This window comes from Homo sapiens, chromosome 3 (genome assembly GCF_000001405.40).
Source record: "Homo sapiens chromosome 3, GRCh38.p14 Primary Assembly".
NCBI classification, from domain to species: domain Eukaryota; kingdom Metazoa; phylum Chordata; class Mammalia; order Primates; family Hominidae; genus Homo; species Homo sapiens.
The window spans coordinates 43,884,777-43,908,644 of record NC_000003.12 but is presented as its reverse complement, the minus strand read 5'-3'; the positions used below and the strand labels follow the sequence as shown (position 1 = coordinate 43,908,644).

At 43.4% G+C, this 23,868-nt stretch overlaps 1 long non-coding RNA gene across 1 annotated transcript in view, besides 1 other annotated feature; it reads left to right on the top strand.

The window, feature by feature from the left end:
* LOC107986081 (uncharacterized) overlaps nt 1-23,868 on the top strand; it is a 68,253-nt gene that overhangs the window by 3,609 nt on the left and 40,776 nt on the right. The window lies entirely within an intron of this gene.
* Nucleotides 840-889: a silencer, noted in NCBI's record as "silent region_14259". NCBI's record gives its function as "represses an Ori minimal core promoter by ATAC-STARR-seq in GM12878 lymphoblastoid cells {active_cell/tissue: GM12878}" and the evidence as "EXISTENCE:reporter gene assay evidence [ECO:0000049][PMID:35858748]".

Here is a 23,868-nt window from a genome sequence, read left to right as displayed (position 1 = left end):
GCTTCTATATTGCCAGTGTTGAGCAGCGTGTGGGCTTCCCCCTGGAAGGAAGCATGGCCTTGGATGAGGCAGTGTTCATCACTAGAGGCATCTCCGGGAGGGCTGGCGTCTCGGGGCATTCTCAGGCAGCACCCCTGGAAGGGCAGCTGTGGAAATAAGCCTTCATCTCTGCTGGTGAGTCTGGGGTTATCTACGGCACCCACCATAGATGCTCAGCCTGGAGGTGTAGGAGAGTTTCAATCCATGGGGGGTGGGAGCTGGTGGATGAATGCTTCCGGCTATGGGAGAAGCTTCTGGCCTTGGGAGCATCCTCTACGCTCCCAAGAGGTCTATCCCAAGCTGCTGTTAGTGATGACCTCAATATGGCAATTTTCCAGTGGCTTTCCCTCCCTCCCTTCTCACTCTTCCTCACTATGGCTCCCTGGAATCACCTCCCAGGTAAACCCACCTGCACCCAAGTCCCCCTCTCAGGGTCTGCTTTTGGGGTGGGGAGGACCCAGGTGAAGACACACGTGCAGACTGATGCTTAATAAAGACTTTGTAATAATAATGTTTATACTTACAAATGAAAATGCCAAGCTCGGACTGATCATCAGAGATTATTACCAACCGCTCTATTTCTTGAATCAAAGTTTCCAAAAGCCTAAAGAGGGAATGGTAGAGGGAAGAGGGTAGGAATGAGATTGTGAACAAGAATTAAGAACTGGGAAACCAGGGGAGGAGGGAGAAGAAGCAGCAGCTGGAAATGAAGATTCAAAATTGATCTGGATTCAAATCTCATTCTATTTCTTAAGATTCTGGATGGGCAATTCATCCTTCTGAGCCTCAATAGCACCAAATCTATAAAATGGAACCAAAGCTAGAAACCCCATGATAGAGTTGGTTGAGTGACAGCAATCCTGGCTCCTGGCACAGTTGCTGTCACACAGGAACCGTTTCATAAGTGGGAGTGTAAGGGGTTTACTATTTCTGGGGCTATTAGCTGATGTACTTTCACTTCCTCCTTTATCATGTCCTTTGGAGCCTTCCACTGCTAAGGCTGAAGTGAACCAAGAGGTTTATTACCCCAAGGAAGGAGAAAAAGATGTCATTGATCAACTTGAGACTTAAAGCCAGCTTGTTCATATTAAGACAATTGTCTGAAAACCTGGGCATTAGGGATAAAAAATACCTTTTAACTCCTTTTAGGCCACTCAAGAGTACAACTTGGGAGATAAGTCCCCTAAGGTTGTATTAGGCACAGAGTATGACACAGAGGAGTGGGAAGCTCCCTGTGGATTACAGGAAGCAGGAGGCAGAGCGGGGAGCAGATGGGGAAGTACAGAGGTCCTGTTCTCTTTTCTCTAGGCAAAAGCCTTGGTGGGAAGATGGTGCGTTATGCAGGCAGAACAAGAGGAGGGCTTTTGTTTCCCTCTGGGGGCTGTGCTTGCCCTGGGCCCATTGCCCTCAGACTCATCCCTCCCCTGCCTTGCCCAGCTCTGGATCTGGGCATCTGCTGCCAGCAGCGTTTCCCAGTCTCCCGTGTCAGCTAGGTTCTGCTCATGGGAGGCCCTGAGGGAAGGCTGGCTGCCAGAGGAAGGGACAGGCCGGGGTATTTCCCTTTGCCTCTCTGCTTCAGCTGGGCCTTCAGCAGCCAATGCATCTCCTCCGTGGTTTCAGGTCCTATTGGTCAGGTCTGCTGTGGTTTCAGCATTCCCAGGTGACACCAGTCCCCAGGCTCTGCTAACCTTTCTCCTTTTGTCACTCTAGCCTGAGGGTCGTGGCAGCCACTGTTAATCCTGGGCGTCTTACCCCACCCTGCTCAGCCTCTTGGCTCTTCCATCATCTGTGTCACCACTGACCAGTACTAGAACCCCTCTGTTTTAGATCGCCAAGGAGTTTCTGTTTTCTGGTTGAATATTGGCTCCAGCAGGAATCTAGGAGAATGTTTCTTACCCGGCACCCATGTGGAACATACCACTGAGGAAGGCAATAGTGCCATGTGGTCTTTTCAGAGAACTCCTAGATTCTCAGAGCCCTTGTGGTGTTACATGCCCTAGAGGGCTGAGGTTTGGCTAGAAGGGATCACCACCATGGGGGCTAGAAGTCTGGACACTGGGGCTGGGAACTGAGCCCCGGGCTGCAGCCCTGGCAAAGCAGCAGGAGAATCACCAGGCCCTTGGAATAAACCAAGAGAGTGTAGATCCCAAGCCTCAGCAGCCACAGCCTTGGCTGATGCCAGCAGGGTAGGCAGTGGCCAGGTGGACAGGGGATGCCAGGTCTACAGAGGCAGGTCCCCCTCTCCCTCCCCCTCTGCCACCTGCACACAGTAAACTCCTCATGCATCCAATAGCCGTCTTGGAGCGGAGAAGGGAGGAGCAGTGGAAACTCAAAGGAGGCTGCTTAGACTCAGAGGGACTGAAATATCACCTATTGACACGGTTAGGTTTCTTTGCTACCTATAGGATAAAGGGCCCAAGAGAAAGGATGGCTCAGCATGTGACTAAGAAGCTACATTTTACTTGCCATAACTACTATTATATTATCACAAACTTATTAATAATAGAGTGAGCACACAGAAAGCACTTGCTTGCCAGCTTTACCCATCCCTTCATACCCTTTGCAGGGCTTTGGATATGGCACGTCTCTCCTGATCTTCCTTCCATTGTGCTTTCTGTAGTTTGGCACTTTCAAGCAATGGGACTTTGGGCAAGCCATGTAACTTCTGTGAGCCTCAGTTTTCTTATCTGCAAAGCGGAGGTAGTCAAGAGCATTTTTGCAATCTGAGTATTCTTAGAGTCCTCAGAGAATTAGGGTGACCATGGTGAGCAGAAGTAAACATAATGAAATAGTCACCTCTGAATGATCATGTACAAAATTGGGTCCCATTGAAATGCCCTTGTCTGTGCCTCTTGTAAAGAGAAATCACAATATCTGCAAAGAGGCAGGATTTCATAAAGATAATAATTGTGAAGTTGGAGAATTGCAAAAGTTACATGCAAAGTTAGCAAAAACTAAAATTCTTCAGCTGAGCCTTCAGCAGCCCATGCATCTCCTCCGTAGCTTCAGGTCCTATTGGTCAGGCTTGCTGTGGTTTCAGCATTCCCAGGTGACACCAGTCCCCAGGCTCTGCTAACCTCACCTTCTCCTTTTGTCACTAACCTGAGGGTGGTGGCATTAACTGGAGTTAAACCAGTTAAAAGTTGAAAAAAATGGGATAGGAAGTTATGGGGACAAAAGTAACCCTTGATTCATTCTTGATTCTAAGAACTGGCCATCATTGTTCATTCATTCACTTAACAAATATTTATTGCACAATTTTTGGCTCTGAGCACTAGAAATACAGCAGACCAGAGCTACACTGAAAATTAAATTTTGTAAAATATGAGATAAAACCTATCTTGTTTTTAGTTTCACTTTTCAAGTTTAAGAATACTCCATTCTTTTTTTTTTTTTTTTTTTTTTTACTACTTGAAATGACATTTTGGTCCTCATTTTAAGCGGATTTACTTTAAGAGGTCTTTTCCAGGCACAAGTCACCCTGTTTTATTCTTCCTGACTCTCAAAGTGTTTTAGAGAATCAAATGACATTCACATTTCATATTTTCTACCCAACACGACAATGAAAAGTAGCTACCCTTAGGAACCTGCTCCTGTAGTTTGGTGTGGCTTCTTGCAAAAACGGGTCCTCCCTTTTTTAAACGATTATTTCAGGCACAGAAGGAGCTTAGGTTATGTATCATATTAGCATTATTGCTCTGTAGGAGTCATCACTCTGGTTCACTTTATTTATTTTCCTTTTTATTCCTGATCCCTTTTATTCCTTTCCCACAGACACCCACTGCAATGGGTCCAATAAAAATCCTTAAATGTATGTTTCCTTGTGGACTATGTAGTGCCATTTTGTGTTTTAACTTGTGCATATGGCATTGGGTAAGGGACCTTGCTCAGTTTCTTTCTTTTTTCACTCAACATCCTGTTTAAGATGTATCCACATCACTGTGCCCCCAGTGTAGCGCTGACTGCTGCAGAGCATGTTGTGGGTCCATCCACACTGATTCACTGCCCCAGGGATGGGCCCCTGGACAGCCTCTAATGCTCTACCACCCAAATGACACACAGGTGAACACCTTTATACATGCCCCTTACAGACCTGAGTGAGCAGGTCTTTAGGATGTTTATCCAGGAGGTGGGGGTCATTGGTCCCAGGGCACATACCAGATAGGTTTCCTGAATGACTGTCCCAGATTCCCCTCTCACCAGTAGTGTGCAAACCTATCTCCCCACAACCTTATCAACCCTTATTACTCATTATCTTTTGATTTTTCCTCTCTTCTTATGGGTGAGCTATGTTATGTCCATTGTTTTTATTGTATTTATCTGGTTATTAGTGAGTTTGAGAATCTCATTTGTGAATTGACTATACATACCTTTTGCCTAGTTTCTATTTGGGATTTCTGTCTTTTTCTTGTTAATTTGCAAGAGTTCTTTGTAAAGTATAAAAATGGCTTATCTTTTTAAATAATTCCAACTATTTTTCCCCAGGCTGACACCTGTTTATCATGTCTGCCTATTGAACGGAAAACCTTTCACTTATAATGTAGTTGAATCCACTAAACTTTTTGATTTTATCTTTTTCTGCCCATCTCCTGGTTGCAAAGATATTCTCATATATTTTCTTCTATTGTATTCCCTTTCACAATTAGGACTTTAATCAACCCTGAGTTTCCCTGCAGAGGGTGTAAGGCAGGGCTCCAGTTTTACTTTCTTACACATAGTGATCCAATTTCCCACCACCATCAACTAAGCAATCCATCCTTTCCCCATGGCTTTGGTGGTACCACCTTCATCATTATACCTCATCATTATACCAATTTACCATGTAGAGAAGAGCCTGGTTCTCTGCCCTCTATTCCATCCCTTTGTTTTTTGTTTTTTTTTTTGACATCTCATTTTTTTGACATCTCATATCTTTTTAACATATTTCAGGTTTTATATTTTGCTTCATAATATGTTTGCTATGATATATAAATCATAGTTTTTAAGTCAAATATTTAAACTCCAAGGCTATTTAATCTAGAAATAAAGAGTATGGTATTTGCATTACAGGGAGCAGAGTTGACATCCTGCCTTTACCACTCAACATCCATGGGACCTTTTGGAGCAGTTTCCTATGGCTTCTGTAACAAATTATGACAAATTTCATAGCCTTAAAAACACAAATTTAACATCTTACAGTTTCAGAAGTCATAATCTAAAGTAGTTTGACAGGGCTGTGTTCCTTCTGGAGGCTCTAGGGTAGAATCCATTTCCTTTCCTTTTCCAGTTTCAGAAAAGCTGCCCGTATTCCCTGACTTGTGGCACTGTATCATTCTGACCATTGTCACATCTTCTAGGCCTCTCCTGCCTTCTTCCTTCTCTTAAAAAGACCCTTGTGATGACATTGGTTCTACTAGATAATCCAGATAATCTTCCCATCTCAAGATTCTTAACTTAATCACATTTGCCATGCCCCTTTTGCTTTGCAGGGTAACATTCACAGGTTCTGGGGATTAGGACATGGACAATTTTGGGGAGCCATTATTTTGCCTACCACACCTTGGATAGGTAACTTAACCTCTCTAAACATCAGTTTCCTTATCTACAGAATGGGGATGAAAAGGTAATTAGAGTTTCTTTGTTTGGCACAGTGTTGGGAACATAGTGAGTGCTTAATAAGTGGTAGATATTTTTATCCTCATCATGGTCCAGGATGATGCACCATGTACTACAATTGGAGAAATTCAGAGTGGATGAGACATTTTATAAGTGAAATGCTAAATTACTGAAAATAGTCATAACAAATAATTTGATTAGTATTTCAATTCTAAGCCAGGTGTCCTATTAAAGCCCAGGGCTCATCCGGTTGTCATTTTCTAATTGTTATTCCGGTGAGTAAAGTCAAAGTGATTTACTCTGTATTTGAAACATATGACCTTTGATGTTCTCTGAATTCCCTGAATTCATAGGAAACCAAGATTTCACCACTGGCTGTTTTTTGCTTGAGAGTTGGCATTGCATGGTTTCAATAAAGAAAATCACAGAGGACTGAAAGAGTCTTCTGTTCATAAATCAAGTTTTGTGTGTGAGAGATCTCAGGGGACTTCATTTGGCAAAAGGAAGTTCTCTGAATCAAGGCATATTACAATTTGTGTCTAATCAGATTAAGTAGATCAAGGAAGAGGGAGATCATCTTTTCCCTTGCAAGGCTGTATATTTCCAGAGCAAGAGCCATCAATGGGAGAAGGCTGGATGTCAAGAGCAGGATGGGAACACAGTGATGGCATGAGAAAATGGCCAAGTTCAGATATATCACAAAACCAGCACCAAGCACATCACGATCACAGAAAAAAATCATCCTGGTGCAAATCTCAGCATTTTAGAATCCAGAGAATTTACTTTCTGACCCTAGAGTTACATTGCCCATTACATTTCATTATGATATTTACTAGCTGTGGCCTTGGGCAGTGTTTTAATCTCTCTGTGCCTCAGTTTCTCTTATTTTCAAAATAATGATAATATCACCCACATCACTGGTGCCTGTGCAGATTAAATGAGTTAGTCTATTAATGGATTAACCCTACCTGTAACTCAGCCACAGTTAGTTGTTACAACCGTTGGTATTGTCCATCTCTAAAATGATTGTATAATTTCTGAGGCTTATAGGGGTTGGGTGATTCATGCATCATTCTGCTGATAATTAGGGGCAGAGAATCTAGGCTCCCTGTCTAAAACTGCTTCCATTGAGGAAAGATACAGTTATCTGGAAAATCCTATGAGATTTCATGGGAAACATCAAGGGCAATACCTCCCTATTGTAGTATGATTACAAAATTGCTCAGGTTGCAAGTCCTCCAAAAAGGGGAGCTTCCTTGATCTCTGCAGTCAAATTTACTTCTAATTACATGAATTCAGAGCACCATTACTAAGCACGTCTAGCAGACATGAAAGATTAACAGTGTATTATTGGTTAGTGTAGGCTCACTGCTGTAACAAACAAGCCCCAGCATTTTTGTGGCTCAATACAATTGAAGGTCATTTCTCTGCCAAGTAAAGTCCAGACTAGGTATTCCTACTGGGTGGGCAGCTTCCCTCCACATGGTGACTGGGGATCCATGCTCCTGCTCCTTCCATCTTGAACTCTGAAAGTGGCACAAACACTTCCACTCATATTCTGTTGGCTGTAGTTGTCACATGGACATGGTGAACTGCAAGGGAACCTGGGGGAATGTGGTCCTGTGGTATTCCCAGGGAAAAGAGGATAGTTTTGATGACCAGCTAGTTAGTTTCTGCTACAGAAAGTGACATAATTAGAAGAATGTAAACTCAGACCAGATTTCATTTGCCAGCATACCCTTAGGAGAGACCCTTCCATCATCACCCCTTAGATTCAATGAACTGCTCAGCCAGGAAAAAACAAGGTTTGCCATCTGCCCCAAGATCACAAGTGAACTCTGTTGCCCAGGCTGGAGTGCAGTGGCACAATCTTGGCTCGCTGCAAGCTCTGCCTCCCAGGTTCATGCCATTCTCCTGCGTCAGCCTCCTGAGTAGCTGGGATTACAGGCACCCACCATGACGCTTGGCTAATTTTTTGTGTTTTTAGTAGAGACAGGGTTTCACTATATAGCCAGGATGGTCTCAATCTCCTGACCTGGTGATCCACCCGCCTTGGCCTCCCAAAGTGCTGGGATTACAGGCGTGAGCCACTGCGCCCAGCCCAGAAATGTATTTCTCACAGCTCTGGAAGCTGGGAAGTCCAAGATCAAGGTGCCAGCAGACTTGGTGTCCGGTGAGGGCCTGCTTCCTGGTCCCCAGGTGGCCATCTTCTAGCTGTAGCCTCATATGGCAACAGGGGTGAGGGAGTTCTCTGAAGTTTCTTTTATAAGGGCACTAATCTCATTTATGAAGGCCTCATCCTCAAGACCTAATCACATAACAAAGGCCCTACCTCCTAATACCATCATGTTGGGTGTTAGGATTTCAACACATGAATTTAAGGAAGGCACAAACATTCAGTCTATAACACCTTCCCACCTTTGCTACCTTAATATCCTCTGCTCTCTGGCCTTCCCTTCACCCCCTCATTCTTCCTGATGCCAGAACACAAACATATCATCTTCTCTAAATCCTTGGTGATTGTTAGTTCACTTGTGATCTTGGGGCAGATGGCAAACCTTGTTTTTCCCTGGCTGAGCAGTTCATTGAATCTAAGGGGTGATGATGGAAGGGTCTCTCCTAAGGGTATGCTGGCAAATGAAATCTGGTCTGAGTTTACATTCTTCTAATTATGTCACTTTCTGTAGCAGAAACTAACTAGCTGGTCATCAAAACTATCCTCTTTTCCCTGGGAATACCACAGGACCACATTCCCCCAGGTTCCCTTGCAGTTCTCCATGTCCATGTGACAACTACAGCCAACAGAATATGAGTGGAAGTGTTTGTGCCACTTTCAGAGTTCAAGATGGAAGGAGCAGGAGCATGGATCCCCAGTCACCATGTGGAGGGAAGCTGCCCACCCAGTAGGAATACCTAGTCTGGACTTTACTTGGCAGAGAAATGACCTCAAAAAAAAAAAAAAAAAAAAAAGAAAGGAATTTCTGTGGTTTAAAAGCTGTCTGATCTACGGCACTTCGTTAAAGCAGTCTGAGCTGAAATAATACAGAAGGATAAGAGGTAAAATTGCTCTGAAATTTTAAAACATAATTTTTATTATGAAAAATTTTAAGCATAAAGTAGAAAAAAATAGTTTAATGTAAACATTTAATTTTAAAAGGTAAAAATCACATTTCATTATGGAAAATCATTAAAAGAAATAAAAGGAAAATATTTGTAATTCAACCACCTTATTAAAGCCAGGTATTGCTTTGGTGTATTTCCATCTAGTCCTTTTTTTTTTTTTTTTGAGGGGAGGGGCATAAGTTTTTATATAGAGTTGTAAAGAAGAGAAATGGTTATAATCAGAGACTTGGTGGTATGTCCTTATGGGAAGGGGGAGAGGAGAGGGGATGGATTCTTCTGCATGGTTTTACACAGAATCCCTTGCTCTGTGTTCCTCACTTTGGGGGCTAACACACATTTCTGATTCTGTAGCAGGTAGGGAAGCAGGAGGTGGGAGAGGAGTGTGGAGAAACATAATTTAGATCAGTTATACATTCAGTTTGTTAGCAGCTTTGGCAAAAAGGTTCCTGGGAAGAGCAAGTGGAAATGCCTTACCAAAATGAAGTTTAAAAGGTATCTCTAGGCCGGGCATGGTGGCTCAACCCTGTAATCCCAGCACTTTGGGAGGCCGAGGCAGGTGGATCACCTGAGGTCAGGAGTTCAAGACCAGCCTGGCCAACATGGTGAAACCCCGTTTCTACTAAAAACACAAAAATTAGCAGGGCGTGGTGGCGCTCGCCTGCAATCCCAGCTACTCAGGAGGCTGAGGCAGGAGAATCATTTGAACCCGGGAGACAGAGGTTGCAGTAAGCCAAGATTGTGCCACTGCACTCTAGCCTGGGCAACAAGGAGCGAAACTCTGTCTTAAATAAATAAATAAATAAATAAATAAAGGTATCTCTAACACATTCACGCTTGGTATTGAACCCCTGTGCTAATTAAGACTGTAGCGGCAATAGGGAAGGCCAACAAATCAGTGGTTTCCAGAGATTGGGAGTTTATTTCTCACCTTCTGTGCCCTTCAAGTGGGGAAGATGCTAGTCTCCTAGAGGTAACCAGGACTGCACCTCGGCTGCCCGCAGTGGTCACCTGCTCACCAGTGCACTCTGATGCCTGCTTCCCTCTCCTACCTCATTTCCTATAGTGCCCATGAGAATGTGCCTAGCAGTCCTGCCTCCAATTAGAGGGAGTATTGGTAACCAAGGGCCTGGCAATTGCTGCACTAGGAAGCCGAAGGACATGCTTCCCAAGGGCTGCTCCCTGTCAGTGACTGAGCACAGCAGGGACACTCGAATGCAGGTTGTTCTAGGAGATGTGGGGCTCCTCTAACACTGGCTTTGGCTCCAGGGTTCCATGATGGCTTCGCTGACCCTTCCATAGACAGCCTGGCAGTCTAAGACATTCTTTCCCCACCTCTTTCACTCAGGGTCAGACTTGGCTGGAGGTATGAGAGATCTCTGAGCCTCATGTGGCTCCCTCCCCATTCTCCCTCACGTTGATAGTTACCCTAATAAAATCCTTTCATGTGTAATCCCACCTTGGCAACTACTTCTCAGAAGACTCACACTAACACATTTCCCCCACTCTCCTACTAATACTTCCTGGAATCACCTCCCAGACAAACAACTTGTACTCAAGTTTTTGTGTTAGTATCTCTTTCTGGGGAAGCCAGCCTAAAATAAAGGACACTCCAGGGACACTGCACACACCCCTTGCACGAATTACCTTGCAGCAGAATAGGGTTAGGTGGCCACACTGAACAAGGGAGGCTGGGGCATGTAGTCTCCTTCTATGATGGACCATGCACGGCAGAATGGCTATCAGGAAGCCTGGTGGCAGCTGTGGCTATTCCTCCTCCCTCTAGCCTTCAAGGTCAACTTTCTGGAGCAGAATGTGTGGAGTCCTTTGTTAAATCTGTGCTGATGTAAACTGATGGAAACTAACCCAAATCTAACTTCATATTATACTGATGTGCTCCAAGGAAAAGTGAAAAGTGAGTGAAGTTATGGTCTAAACCTAGCCCATCTCTTGAGCCATGTTCCCATTTTTTCCTTTTTAGACCCTCTCCAGAACGTCAGCTGCCCAGAGCCCCAGCTTCCCAAAGCCCCTATTCCAGTGCCTCACCCAAGATATTGATTCATCAGCCTGACTTTCTTCCTCTTGCCTTAAATTGTACCTGTTCCATTACCCAAGATTCTGTACATCACTAATGTGATGAGTTAATTTAACATAAAGACAATAACGTTGGCTAAGGCTTGACTGTGGCAGCAGCCAGATGAGCACATTTGGCCTCTAACCAGAACCTGGAATGCCTTACCCAGAGGATGGAATGGTAGTTTGCCTGTTGACTGTCATTGAGTCCTGGATAATCACATGCAAATGTTATCCATCTTAGGCTTTTTTTTTTTTTTTTTTTTTTTTTTTTTTACGATGCAGATAACAGAAGTCAAGGATCAGGCATGAATAAGCTACCCCACTAGTAAGGATCTTGAAACCCAGTAGCTGAGACTCCATAAGTTCTGTGAACTCAGTTTTCCTCTGGGTCATGTTCCTTAGGATATTTTTTTTCTGTCGTATTCAGGAAAGAAGCCTAGACTCCTTTGATTCAACACTAAACTGTTCACAGTAGTTATCCCTAGAATGAAATTGTAGCCGGGGAGACTGTGAAAGGGCTATTGCTTTTAATACTGTAAAAGGGCTACTACCTTTTAATGTTTCTATAGGGCTTGAATTTTTCATATCAAGCATGTACTCTTTTGGTAACTTTTGAAAATAATGTAATTTAGCTGCTATGATAAACCATTTGCCTTGCCCTGTGGCATGGACAAGAAACCTGTCCTATGCATTCCTGAGAAGATCTCTTCATTTTTGGTAAACAATGAAAAAATCCGGTCCTTAATGTCTCTTCTTTTTTCAGAATGCATTTGGATCCTTTCTGCTATTAGCTTTCTTAAACGTGATATGAATTGTCCTGCATCCCTGGTTTCTCTCTGTCCCATGAGTCAGCTGTTCAAATGTATTTTAAAACATTAATTTTTAAGTGAAATTAGAATACAGACCACACTTATTTATCCACAGTGCCTGGGTCTAGTGCCTGGTATAAAATCAACACTTTAAAATGTTTTGAAAAATGGCTGAGAACTCATATTAGTCAAGGGACTCCTAATGACCACGGAGTTGTTTCCATATGGCAGCCACTGCAGGTCTTCGGGGGTGGGAGGTGAGCCTTGAGTTCTTTAAAAGTCTTTCCCTGGGATGTCGACCCAGATACCAAATGCAGTTGGGAAGGGAAAGTGGTAGTCTGGCCAATGGTGTAAAATTAGGTGTAATATATGAGAATACAACTGCTTGTGTCCTACTTACCTAGTCATTGGGCAAGGCAGGTTAGGTCTGAAGGGGAAATTACTGGCCAGAATCTCAGCATTTTACTGCAAGCTTGAGAAACTGAAAACAAAGCAAAACAAAACATAATCAGTTTTTCCTTGTTGTGCTTGTTTTGACAATAATTTGTTTTGACAAACTGACACTCTTAAAGATGGCTTTTCTGATATTTTGTAAGGCCACTGCACTATCTGCCATTTAACATTTTAGAGTAACTTCCAAGTTTCACACCTCTTGAGCGCCTAGCCACTTTTTGCTAGCATTGCTTCATGTTGTGAGAGAAGAGACCACCTAATGTCCTGACGTGCAGTGGTGACAGTAGACACATTTAAGTCCAACCTTAGCCCTTCCAGTTCTGGTCCTGTGACCTTAAGTCTCTGAGCCTCAGTTTTCTAATCTGTCAAATGGTATTAATGATGCTAGCTGTCTCTAGAGCTGTTTTAGGGATTACAGGAGGTAATCTTTTTTTTTAAGCACAGGGGCTGGTGCATAGTAAAGACTCAATAAATGATAACCATTGTTATCATCATCAACATTAAAAGCTTATCAAAGAGGGCCAGAAGGACTTGGGATATGGATCCAGGAAATCTACCACTTTCAGGCCAAGTAATAATCATATTAATAAAACCAGTAGAGTTCTGCTGGGTCATTCTTCTGGGACCTCATGTTCTGTTCTTTGCAGTATTGGGAAGTGGGCAAGGAAGAGGGGCGTGGAGAATGGAGGTGAGGAAGGGGGCTGGGAAGGCAGAGGGAAAATGAGGGCTGCTGATGGTTGGTGGTTCAGAGGCAGCAAAGCCAGCAGTGAGGAAATGGGAATTACCAGGCACTGAGGAGCCCTAGTGCCAGCTCTTTGCTGACATAATTAATGAGGCTGTTGTGCCAAAAACGAGGCATGTTGTTAATATACAGACCTGTTGGGAGCACAAGGGAAATGCAAATAAAAATTTTGCCAAAAGAGGAGTGGGGTCAAATCAGCTCCAGAGGGCGACCACGTTGTCTATAAAACTCTAGTATATGGGAGGCCAGGAGACAGTATGAAGAAAAAGAGAGGAATTGATTTCAAACAGGATCAGTAGCTACTAAATAGTAGACTTTTAATATTCGTGTTTGCTGATTTTTCCTTTTGTGTCTATTTCTTTCAAAGTCTGTTCAGTTGGTGAAATTCACTTGATAATGAAGACTACTTAGGTTGGTGCAGAAGTAATTTAATTTTTTAAAAAAAGGCAAAAACTGCAATTACTTTTGCACCAACCAAATAAAATTTCAATGGAGTTTTAGCATTCAGGACTTTAATATACATTCCATAAGATACACAAGAAAAAAACCTGAAAGATTATTTTTATTTTTACTTTAAAGAGCTCTGGGCTGCTGAGAGGAAGCAGTCTTGAACCTATATAAAATTGTGATTTTTGTGCCTGTTTCCATCATAAAAACCAAAAATGATTATTGGTTTCTTATGTGTGTTCTCAATGGCGAATTCAATTTTTTTTCCCAAAGAGCCTTGTTGAATCATCCGAGTGAGACGTGGACCAAGGTGAAGGCGCCTGCGGGTGGCTTTCCTGTCCAGGGGTAGGCAGGAAATAGAGTCCCGGGCTGCCACTGCTGTCCCCTATGGGTGTGGCTGGGGACTGGCTGGGAAGAAAGCCAGCATCATTTGATGCAGTTGCTCTGGAAGGTCGCTGAGCACGGGCCCTGGCACCCACCTTCCCAAACACAAGCCCGGCCCTCGGCCCAGCGGAGAGTCTCGTACAGGGGACAGGGATGGCGATGCTGGTCCCACGGGAGCCAGGCCGGTGTCCCCAGGGGATGAGGGGTGGGGGGCAATACAAGGAGGTTACTTTGGTCTGTTGCTCCCGCTTTGTTAACCCATCCCTATGTCCTATCCCCTTCTTCCCTGGCTTTGCCCAAGCCGGGTAACGAGAAAGCGCTAGGAACCAAGTGGCTGTTGGACGTGGCCGACTGCGGAAAGGCCTGCTTTATTTCGTCGCAGTTCATTTATTTTCCTTTTCGTTCTGCCGGCTGCCACGTGTTTGGTAAGTTAGAGCACGAAACACTTTAAGATGGGCCTGTGGGGCCGGAGCAGAGCCGCAGAGCTGTGCAGGCGCGCGTGTGCACGTGCGCGCCTGTATGCCGCGTGGGCGTGCGCGCGTGCACGTGGGCCGTGTGCGCGCGCACATTGTTTCTGTCTCCAGCGGTTGGGAGCGCGCTGGCGTTGCCTGTGGGCTTGGGGCCCCTGCGCCGGGGCGGAGCGGGCAGCGAGGCTGGCGGGAGATGCTGGGCTGCTCTGGAGAGCGCGCAACCGGCGTGCTCACCCTGTTAAGGCTCCGCTCTTCGCTGTGCCCAGATCCACACAGGTAGCCTTCAACCGCCGCCCAGGGAAGTCAGTGCTCTTATTAGCTTCAATTTCCGGACGAGGAAGTGAGGCACAGAGAGGTTAAGGAGCCCAGCTATTAGGAGCCTTTGAACTCAGACAGTCTGGCTCCAGAATCTGCATCTTAACTCCATTACGCGTTATTTTTTAAACGCAGGCCCGCCCCCCCCCGCCCCCCTGGACTCCGGTTTGAAACGCATTGAATAATGAATCCTTTTCGCCTCCCTCCCTCTGAAATAACAGTTCAGTTCATCGAAAACCCAGAGGTAGCCTACCGTGTGACTCAGCGGCACGGAAAACATCAGAGTCATTGACTTTGGCGTGGCAAAGTGGGATCTCACACATGGTACTTTATCAAATAAAGGGCACTGGCATGTTAAACTGATTCGTAGCATCTTTTAAATGTGACAAAACATAAGCTTTGATCACACTTCTGATTTTTTTTCCCTGACTTTAAGTGATGCATTATAGTAGGAAAATACAGGAAAGGACAAAGAAGAAACTAAAAGTTCCCCATAATCTCAGCTCTCCACCCCATAATACTATACGTTGTTGAAAATCTAGTGATTTTTTTCTAAGCATATACTATCACAAAATTGATTAAAAGAAATTTAAAACAGTATCATAATGTACATGGTGTTTTATAATTTTTATATTTAATAATGCATCACGAACATTTCCCCATATCAAATATTCTACTACAAATGTTTTTAATGACTACACCGTATTTCATTATACAAATTTGCCATGACTTAACTTGTCACTAGCCTTATTTTTTGACTTTTCAGTTGCTCCCCAACTTTTGCTATTATAAATGATGGACACCAGAATGCAGCAATTTTTTATACACACTATTTCCTTGGGACAAATGGGATTGCCAGGTCAAAGATCATCACACTTTTAAAGGGGTCAAACTATTATCTAGAAGGGTGGGCTCAGTACACTCACCTCCAAGTAGAATAAGTGTGCCCGTTTTCTTTCTCAATTCTGGGTGTTATTGCTCCAGGCAATCTTTCTTAATAAACAAAATACAGCCTTCAAAAAAAATACCTCAGTTATTTCATTAGACTGTGCCAAGTTTCAAGAGAAAGACTTTATATGATTGCAGATACTTGAAACATTTGGGAAATTCAGTTTATTCAGATGCTCCCAGGACTGCACAAGACTCAGCAAAGGACGTGGTAAAATAAGGGCACTTTGGAAAAAGGAACTAGGAAAGAATTCTCAAGCCATTTTTTTTTTTCAGGGCAGAGAGATAGATGATGTCTCTAAAATAAAAAAGGAGGTATTAATTGCCTCTTTGGCTGGGTCTTTGACTCCGTGGCAACTTTCCCATTGTCAGGTCTGAAAACGTTGATGGTGCTGCTTGCCGCAGAGCTACTGCAGAAATATTCAAGGCAGCAAACCTGGGCAATTAGGGTTTCTGTTAATTTTCTTCCCCTTTCATTCTACCAGCTTCCCCTCCCCCTATGTCAGCTAGTTGGAGTGACAAATATTTAAAGTCAGCCTGTCACGCATGAGCAGCGCAGCTGTGTGAATGACTGATTTTCTTGACGTTCTAAACAGCTTTGTGTGTGCATGTGGAGACCTGCAGACCCCAAACCTGCCACCGTCTGCCCCACAAGACAACATTGGTTTGATATTTGAGGCAACAGTGGGGGGTCTAGGCAGGTGGCATTTTATGACCAGGAAATGAACGGACATATAATCTGCAGATGTTTTAGGAATAGGCATGTTTGTCACAATGACCTCTAGGTAAATTTCTGCAGTGACAAAGAGGAGACTTTTCAGGTGTGGTTTAAATTCCTTTCCTTGCACAGCGTGCTCTAAAATCACTTTTGCCTAAGGGACTGGAGACCATGATGTCCTTAGTGAATCTGAAAGATGCACTTGGACCCGACTGGCCTTTTTTCTCCCCACTCAGCGTTGCAGCAAGAGTAACAGATGTCTATTTAGGGAAGGCATGTTCTCTTTTTCTATGCAAACCGTGTTGCTAAAAATTCTCTTTTAGATGAATTATTAAACCCAATTTATGAAATAAGGACAATACAGATTTCCTCTGGAACTATTCTTTCTCTCTGATATGTGATACCCGTGTCTGCTGGTGGAGAAAAGCAAAGAGAATTTGAGAAGCCAGGCGGGGATGGGAGAAAAGTGAGATAAATAAATACAGGTTATTTTATAGCCCTAGAAATTCCCTGAATGTTTGGACCCCTTGGGGTCCATCTAGAATTCTTTAGCCATCATATAGAAACACACAAAAACGTAATTATTTTTGTAAACCTAGATTTCTTCTCATGGTCTAATGAAGTAGGAATATTTAACTTATCACAGTTCCTTTAAGAAACAGTACTGCTTTTGTTTGAGAACAGGCATTGATCTGTGTTTGGAACATCAAGGTGGTGCTTCTAAGGGAGAGAGTAGGTTATTCTTTTTTTATTCAAGGGGAGGTATTTTGTGTTGCTCTTGAAGGGGACTCAGCAGGAAAAAGTGGCTGGAAGAGCTGAGTGGACATAAAGCCACAGAGAGGTGCAGTGGCCCCTGGATGTCCTGAGGCTGGGGATGCCTGGGGCTCTCAGCTGGTTGTTTGGGTTATAAACTTAACGTGAGGTGGAAACCAGCATCACCTCTCTTATGAAATCTTCAGTAACATCTACTTTTTAAAAGCATAAAGCCTTTGCTAATGAATATTCTCCTTACATTTTTTAGATGAACTCTGTTATAGAATTTATATCCCTTTTTGCAATACATGAATTTTTATAGTAATTATGAAAAAAAAAATTTAACCGTTAACTTGAAATTCACACCTCAATGCCAACCTTAGATGCTGCCTCCGAGGAAATAACTTCCTGCCCGTTTTATCTGCAGTGCGGTCGTGGACCTGCAGCATCACCTGGGAGCTGGATAGACCTAGTGACTTAGTCTGTTCAGGCTGTTATAACAAAATACCTTACACTAGGTAATTTATAAACAACAGAAACTTATTGCTGACGGTCCTGGAGGCCGGAAAGTCCAAGATCAAGGTGCTGGCAAATTCAGTGTCTCGTTCAGTGAGGGCCCATTCCTCATGGACGGTACCTTCTTGCTGTGTCCTCACGTGGTGGAAGAGGCAAAGGGCTCCCTCAAGCCTCTTTTATAAGGGCACTAATCCCATTCATGAGGGCCCTATCCTCTTGACCAAATCACCTCCTGAAGGCCCCACCTCTCAATACCATAACATTGGAGACTAAGTTCCAATATGTGACTTTTGGGAGGACATCAACATTCAGACCATAGTACCTAGTGAATCAGAATCTGCATTGCAACAAGATTCTCAGATAATTCAGGTGCGTATTACAGTTTGCAAACTGCTGGTCTGCAGTCCCGGTTCTAAACTTGGCTGCACATTGGAATCACTTGGGAAGCTTTACAAAATATAGATTCCAAAGTCCCATTCCTAAGGATTCTAATTTAATTGATTTGGGGAGGCAGGGCTCCCAAACATCTGGATTGTGAAAGGCTCCCCAGGTGATTCTAATATGTGGTATATTTGAAAACCCCTGATTTCAGAACGCTTTCTTCTTCAGGTCATGTCTAAGCTCAGACACCTTGTGAGGTGCCTGGCCTGGCCACAAAGTCTGTGCTGCTTGGGAATCAAAGCTCGCCTACAATAGTAGTGCTCTGCGTTCTCAAAAACTTCTGTGTAACAAATTTTCACCATGAGACTCAATAGAGGATTTAAGCCAATAGCAGACAATCAGAGGAGCTTCCAGGATCACTCTTCTCTAGCACCTTGACCCCCATCTTCTGGTTTTGCAACCCCATGAGACTGCCTAACATGGTGGTCAGGGAAAGGGTGGTCAAGCTCCCTGGGTTCAAACCACGGCAGTGTGCCCTAACATAGATTACCTACCACTTTCAAACTCCATTTCCTCCTCTCTACTTGGGGTTAATAATAGTACCTACATCCTAGGGTTGTGAGAACAGGTCCAACAGAATGCAGGGAACCTACTTACCAGGACTTGTATTCAAGTAATAAGAATATATGCACCATGAGGACTAACAGAAGGAATAAAACCTAATTAACACTCAACTTTCTCCGCTGTCGGAAGCCTGCAGATGGGAATGGCAACAAGAAACAAGTCCATTCATGCTGCAGACACTTATAAACACTCAAGAATTGAAGGACCAGGAACCTCTGAAAGTTGGGGTAATTGGAGGAGCTGAAGGAAGAAGGTTTGATACGTCTGTGTGAAGAGTCGTTAAATCCCTGCCCAACACAACCTGAGCTCAAGGCCTTCCTTGCCCCAGCAGAAGCCTGAAGTTTTACCCTCCGAAGAAACTGATCCAGGCTGGCTTCCAACCCAGAGTTGCCAGGCACAGCTGGGGTAGAGGTGAGGCCCTGGACAGAAACAAGGTTAAACGAAATTTTGCAGCTTTACCCCCACTTCAGTCCTATTTCCCCAGTAGGCTCCCAGAATGCATTAGATTCCCCAGGCCAGAAACCAGAGGAAAGAGCAGAAATACTGAATTTTGGCGGAATCTTCCAAAGGAACAGCAGCAGGTCCCCTGCCTGATCATCCTCAGCAAAGACCCTATTGGCAAGCTCATTCTACTTAATGAGCTTCCAGCCAACCTTGGATGCCACCTTCCTAATATAAATGAAAAGGCAATGATTACAAGGAAAATCTTCACCATGGAAAGCAAATATCAAAACAAGAGGAGAAAAGGAAATTAGAGTAAACAGAGATCATGTTGCTCCACCCTTGAAGGGAGCGAAGGCCCTGCATCCATAAGACAAGACTATTTAGGGGACGGTAGAGGTGTTGAAAATGAAAAGAACACAAAAACAGAAATAAAATGCAATAAAAAGGATGGGGCTAAAGTGGGTAAAGTCTCAAAAAGTGTGGTAAAAAACATTAGATTCATATTAGAGGCCCAATACTCCAGAGAAAATAAAGAAAATGGAAGAGAGAAAATTATCGAAGAGAACAATATTCTGAAATATTTCAGAACAAAAGTATATGATTTACTAGACTGAACAGGCCCAAAAAGTGCTCAGCATAATGAATGTTTTCTTCTTTTCCTGTATCTTTATTTTTTATTTTATTTTTATTTTTGTGGGTACATGGTAGGTGTATATATTTATGGGTCACATGAGATATTTTGATACAGGCATGCAATGCATAATAATCACATCATGGAGAATGGGGGATCCATCACCTCAAGCATTTTTCCTTTGTGTTACAAATAATCCACTCATACTCTTAGTTATTTTAAAATGTACAATTAAATTATGTTTGACTATAGTCACCCTGTTGTGCTGTCAAATACTAGGTCTTATTCATTCTTTCCAACTATTTTTTATACCCCTTAACCATCCCCACTCTCCCTCCCATACCTTTCCCAGTCTCTGGTAACCATCCTTCTACTCTCTATCTCCACGAGTTCAATTATTTTAATTTTTAGCTCCCACAAATAAGTAAGAACATGAGACGTTTGTCTTTCTGTGCCTGGTTTATTTCACTTAACATAATGACCTCCAGTTTCATCCATGTTGTTGTAAATGACAGGATCTCGTTCTTTTTTTTTTTTTTATGGCTGAATGGCACTCCACTGTGTATATGTACCACATTTTCTTTATCCATTCATCTGTTGATAGACACTTGGTTTGCTTCCAGATATTGACTATTGTGAATAGTACTGCAATAAACATGAGACAGATAGCTCTTTGATATACTGATCTCCTTTCTTTTGGGTATATACCTAAGAGTGAGATTGCTGGATCATATGGTAACTCTATTTTTAGTTTTTTGAGGAACCTCCAAGCTCTTCTCCGTAGTGGTTGTACTAATTTACATTCTTGCCAACAATGTATGAGGGCTTCCTTTTCTCCACATCCTCGCTAGCATTTGTTATTGCCTAACTTTTGGATAAAAGCTATTTTAGCTGGTATGAGATAATATCTCATTGTAGTTTTGATTTGCATTTCTCCAATGATCAATGATATTGAACACCTTTTCGTATACCTGTTTGCCATTTGCATGTCTTCTTTTGAGAAATTTCAGAGTGGCATTAATCATCTTAGCACATCAGAATATAGAAAATAAAGGAACAAGACTTTCAAAATGCTGAGGAAAACATTTTCAGCCTCGAACTCTATATCCAGCTAAGCAACCAAGGGTGATCTCTGGAAGCTAGTACAGATATCCCAAAATAAAGGAATTAACAAAGAAAGAGGATGCTATAGGATCCAGAAAAGTGATTCAACACAGAAGAGAGGCAAAGGGAATTCAGGGTTTGGTAAGTGAAGCCCCTGGATGACCACTGGGTGACAAGGATGACAGGTCACCAGCTCAGATTGGAACAGGAGGAAGGACAGCTTCTGGAAGGACATCTCCAAGGTACAGATGGGATGGATATGTTTCAATATACCCAGGGGAATTTTACATCTCTTCTGCAGAGTTTGTAGGGAGAATTAGTGATGGCTACATAAATTATGCAAGTGGAAGCAAAGTCAATAATTAATTCCAGGGAAAACAAAAAGTCATATGCAAAAGAAAATGCAACACTTTTCTGGAGCAGCTTGAACAATGTTTACTTAATGAGAATAACATGTTCATTGAATAATGATTTAACAAAACCTGTGACATGATTACATGGGGAGGATGTAGAAGGGAAAGTAGATGAGGTAAAGGTATCCTTTCTAAAACCCTCAGCAACCATAGCAGGAAGGCAGGAGATTATGTCTAAAATGGAAAAGTCAGGATTCAATAGTATGTCTTTTACTCAGAAAAGTGGAGGTAAATATGAAAAGTATTTGCTGAATTGGGACTTGGGGTGGGGAAGGTATGGGGAGGGGAACACTACATTTTTTTACTAGCCTTATAGTAGTATTTGACTTTTTAAAACGTGTATGTATTAAGTTTGATAGAAATAGAATTAAATTTTAAAACAAGGCTGAGCACCATGCCTGGCCCAGGTAAGTGCCAGCCATTGTGGGGAAGCTGTTCTTCCCATTCCTATATCTTGCCCTCTTGGTTTTTCTCAGCAAACCCTGACAGGCAAGTTACAAAAGTTGGCCATTGTGATTCACGGAACTTCGTCTTTCACTTCTACACTCAGGAGAGGCCCCATAATAGCATCTTTGGTGGTGGTTGTTTTTTTGTTTTTGTTCCTTTGCTGTGTTTTGCCTTTAAAGAGAAGGTGCCTGAATGCTGGACTTTGCTGGAGAAACTCACAGTGCATGAGAAACTTTGATTCAGAATGTTTTTGGTGCTGCTTCGGTTACTGAAATAACTGACTGGTGTTTAAAATAAGAAATCTGTACTTTTCACCTCATATATAACTAGAGATTTTTCTTATAAGGATTTTATTTATGTGAAAAATTGGACTGTCTTTTGGAGTACTGGAATGGATTAAATGTTCCCAACTGAAATAAATGGCAGAGGCCTTTTTTGCAAAACACCCCTTTGCCTTCTGCCCTTTCTGTGGGAGGTAAATTGAGAATGCTATGTCAGGGAAGAGCTGTGCCTGGGTAGAGTGGATTTTTCTGTGCAAATCAGTGAAAGGGTTGATAGTTTACATCTGGGCAGCTGAGTGGGTAAAGGGGACACCACTCTGGATTCCCAGGGCAGAGGGGACTAGGAGGAGGCTAAGGGCTGGGAATTTGCAGAAATCTTTGGAGGGTATGGAACTTGAACTTCACTGTGGCCTTATGGGTCTGCAGTCCTCTTAGCTGGATCTGGTAGGGCCAGAGAGGCCTAGCTGACCTCAGAGTTGCAGGAGTTGCCCAGGTTTTCCTGGCATTATCACACCCACGTAGCTGTCTTCACTCCATTAGGGATTAGCAGGTTCTGGTATTTGGTATTTGTACAGAAGACAGGCTTGCCTCAAACTGAAAAAAAAAAAAAAAAAAAAAAAAAGAAAGATTCTGGATGACCAAAGTGTGTTTCTTTTCTTAAAGTCATTTTCCCTCCCCCTTTCCTAGAATCAAGCCAAAGTTGCTCCCCACCCGATGGGGCACCCCTCTGCACAGCTCAGTGCAGCTCATCGTCTGCTGTGACTTAAATAGCAAGAAGAATTTTTAAAAATAAGTTTTGTCATCAGTCTTGCTTGATCCTAAGCAACACTGCTCCAGCAGATGTGGCAAAATCCTCTCACAGGCCAGCTTGCTTTGTTCCAGAGGCAATTTGTGCAGAAAGCAGCAAGTTCCCTGGTGCTAGAGGGCACAGAAAAGGACCTGCCACCCTGCCCCTGTGACTGGGGGGCAGGCAGGGGCTGTGTGTGGGTATGAGTGTGTGTGGGGTGTGAGGATGTGGGTGTGAGTGGGAGTGTGCGTGCGTGTGGGGTGGGTGGGGCTGGGGCAGGAGGAAGGAGAACACAGCTCAACCTAGTTAAGAAGTTGAACCCAGCTTTCTGGGTATATTCTTTTTTAACAAAGAGTGGTATGTTCTGTCTTAGCTATTCAGCCTCTTGGTCTGAAAATCTCAGCAAGAATCCACCAAGTTTATTTTTAAAATGCTTGTAATTTGAAGATGGACTTCAGAAAGACTTGATGTTTGCACGGGGCGGGGCTTTGGGCCATTGTAGATCATTTCTTGACCTTTCTGCAGTGGGGAGAAGAGGGTGCTGGTGAAGTAGGAGGCACTCATCTTTTATTATCAACAGGAGAATATGTTGTGTTTTCTGTGAAAAGTATAGGTAGTTTAAGAAGAAACGCGTTTCTCCGTGGTGTGGGTTTGCCATATGTCTGGATTGCCGCCATGTGACAACTTGGGTCCTTATTTTAAGGACAGTACTCAGACAAAAAAGCGTGTGTCCCTGAGCTGAGAGCTTCACATACAGTGACTCAGTCCTTTCCTGGGGTGTCACTGGCCATGGGGGTACCAGTGATGATTTTAGGTGGAATGTGGTGAACACTTTTACTTTAAAAGGTGTTTGTTTATTTTAATGTGTATTAGGAAAGATCAAAACCAGGATAAGTCCATAATTACATGGAGAGATGAAATTCCTGTCAAACAAATAGTTTAGATTCTTAAAATGAGAGTTTGTTTAAGAAAATTACCAGTTAAATACTAATCCAGGAGCGCATCACCCCAGGTTAGGTAGGAGAAATAATTCTCCCTGACGGTCCCCATGGCGATACGTATGAAGGGATCATTTGCAGATCTCTGGGACAGGGCAAATGGGGGCCCTAAAGAATGCTGAGGTCCCCAGAGAGTAACCTCAGAGTGATGCTGGGCCACCTTAGGCCTGAAGAGTCAAAGGAGGGAATCAGAGTCCACTGACAGCCAGAGCCACAAAAGGGGCACAGCCAGGGGCACAGTCGGCACCAGAGCGAGGGGGGGGCAGGGAGAGATTCTCCCATCTCCCTCCTCCCGCTGCCTCAGCCCTGCCAGCACCTGCCATGGGCCAAATCCAACCGGAGACCAGTGGGCTACGAGCCCAGTGAAGTCCAC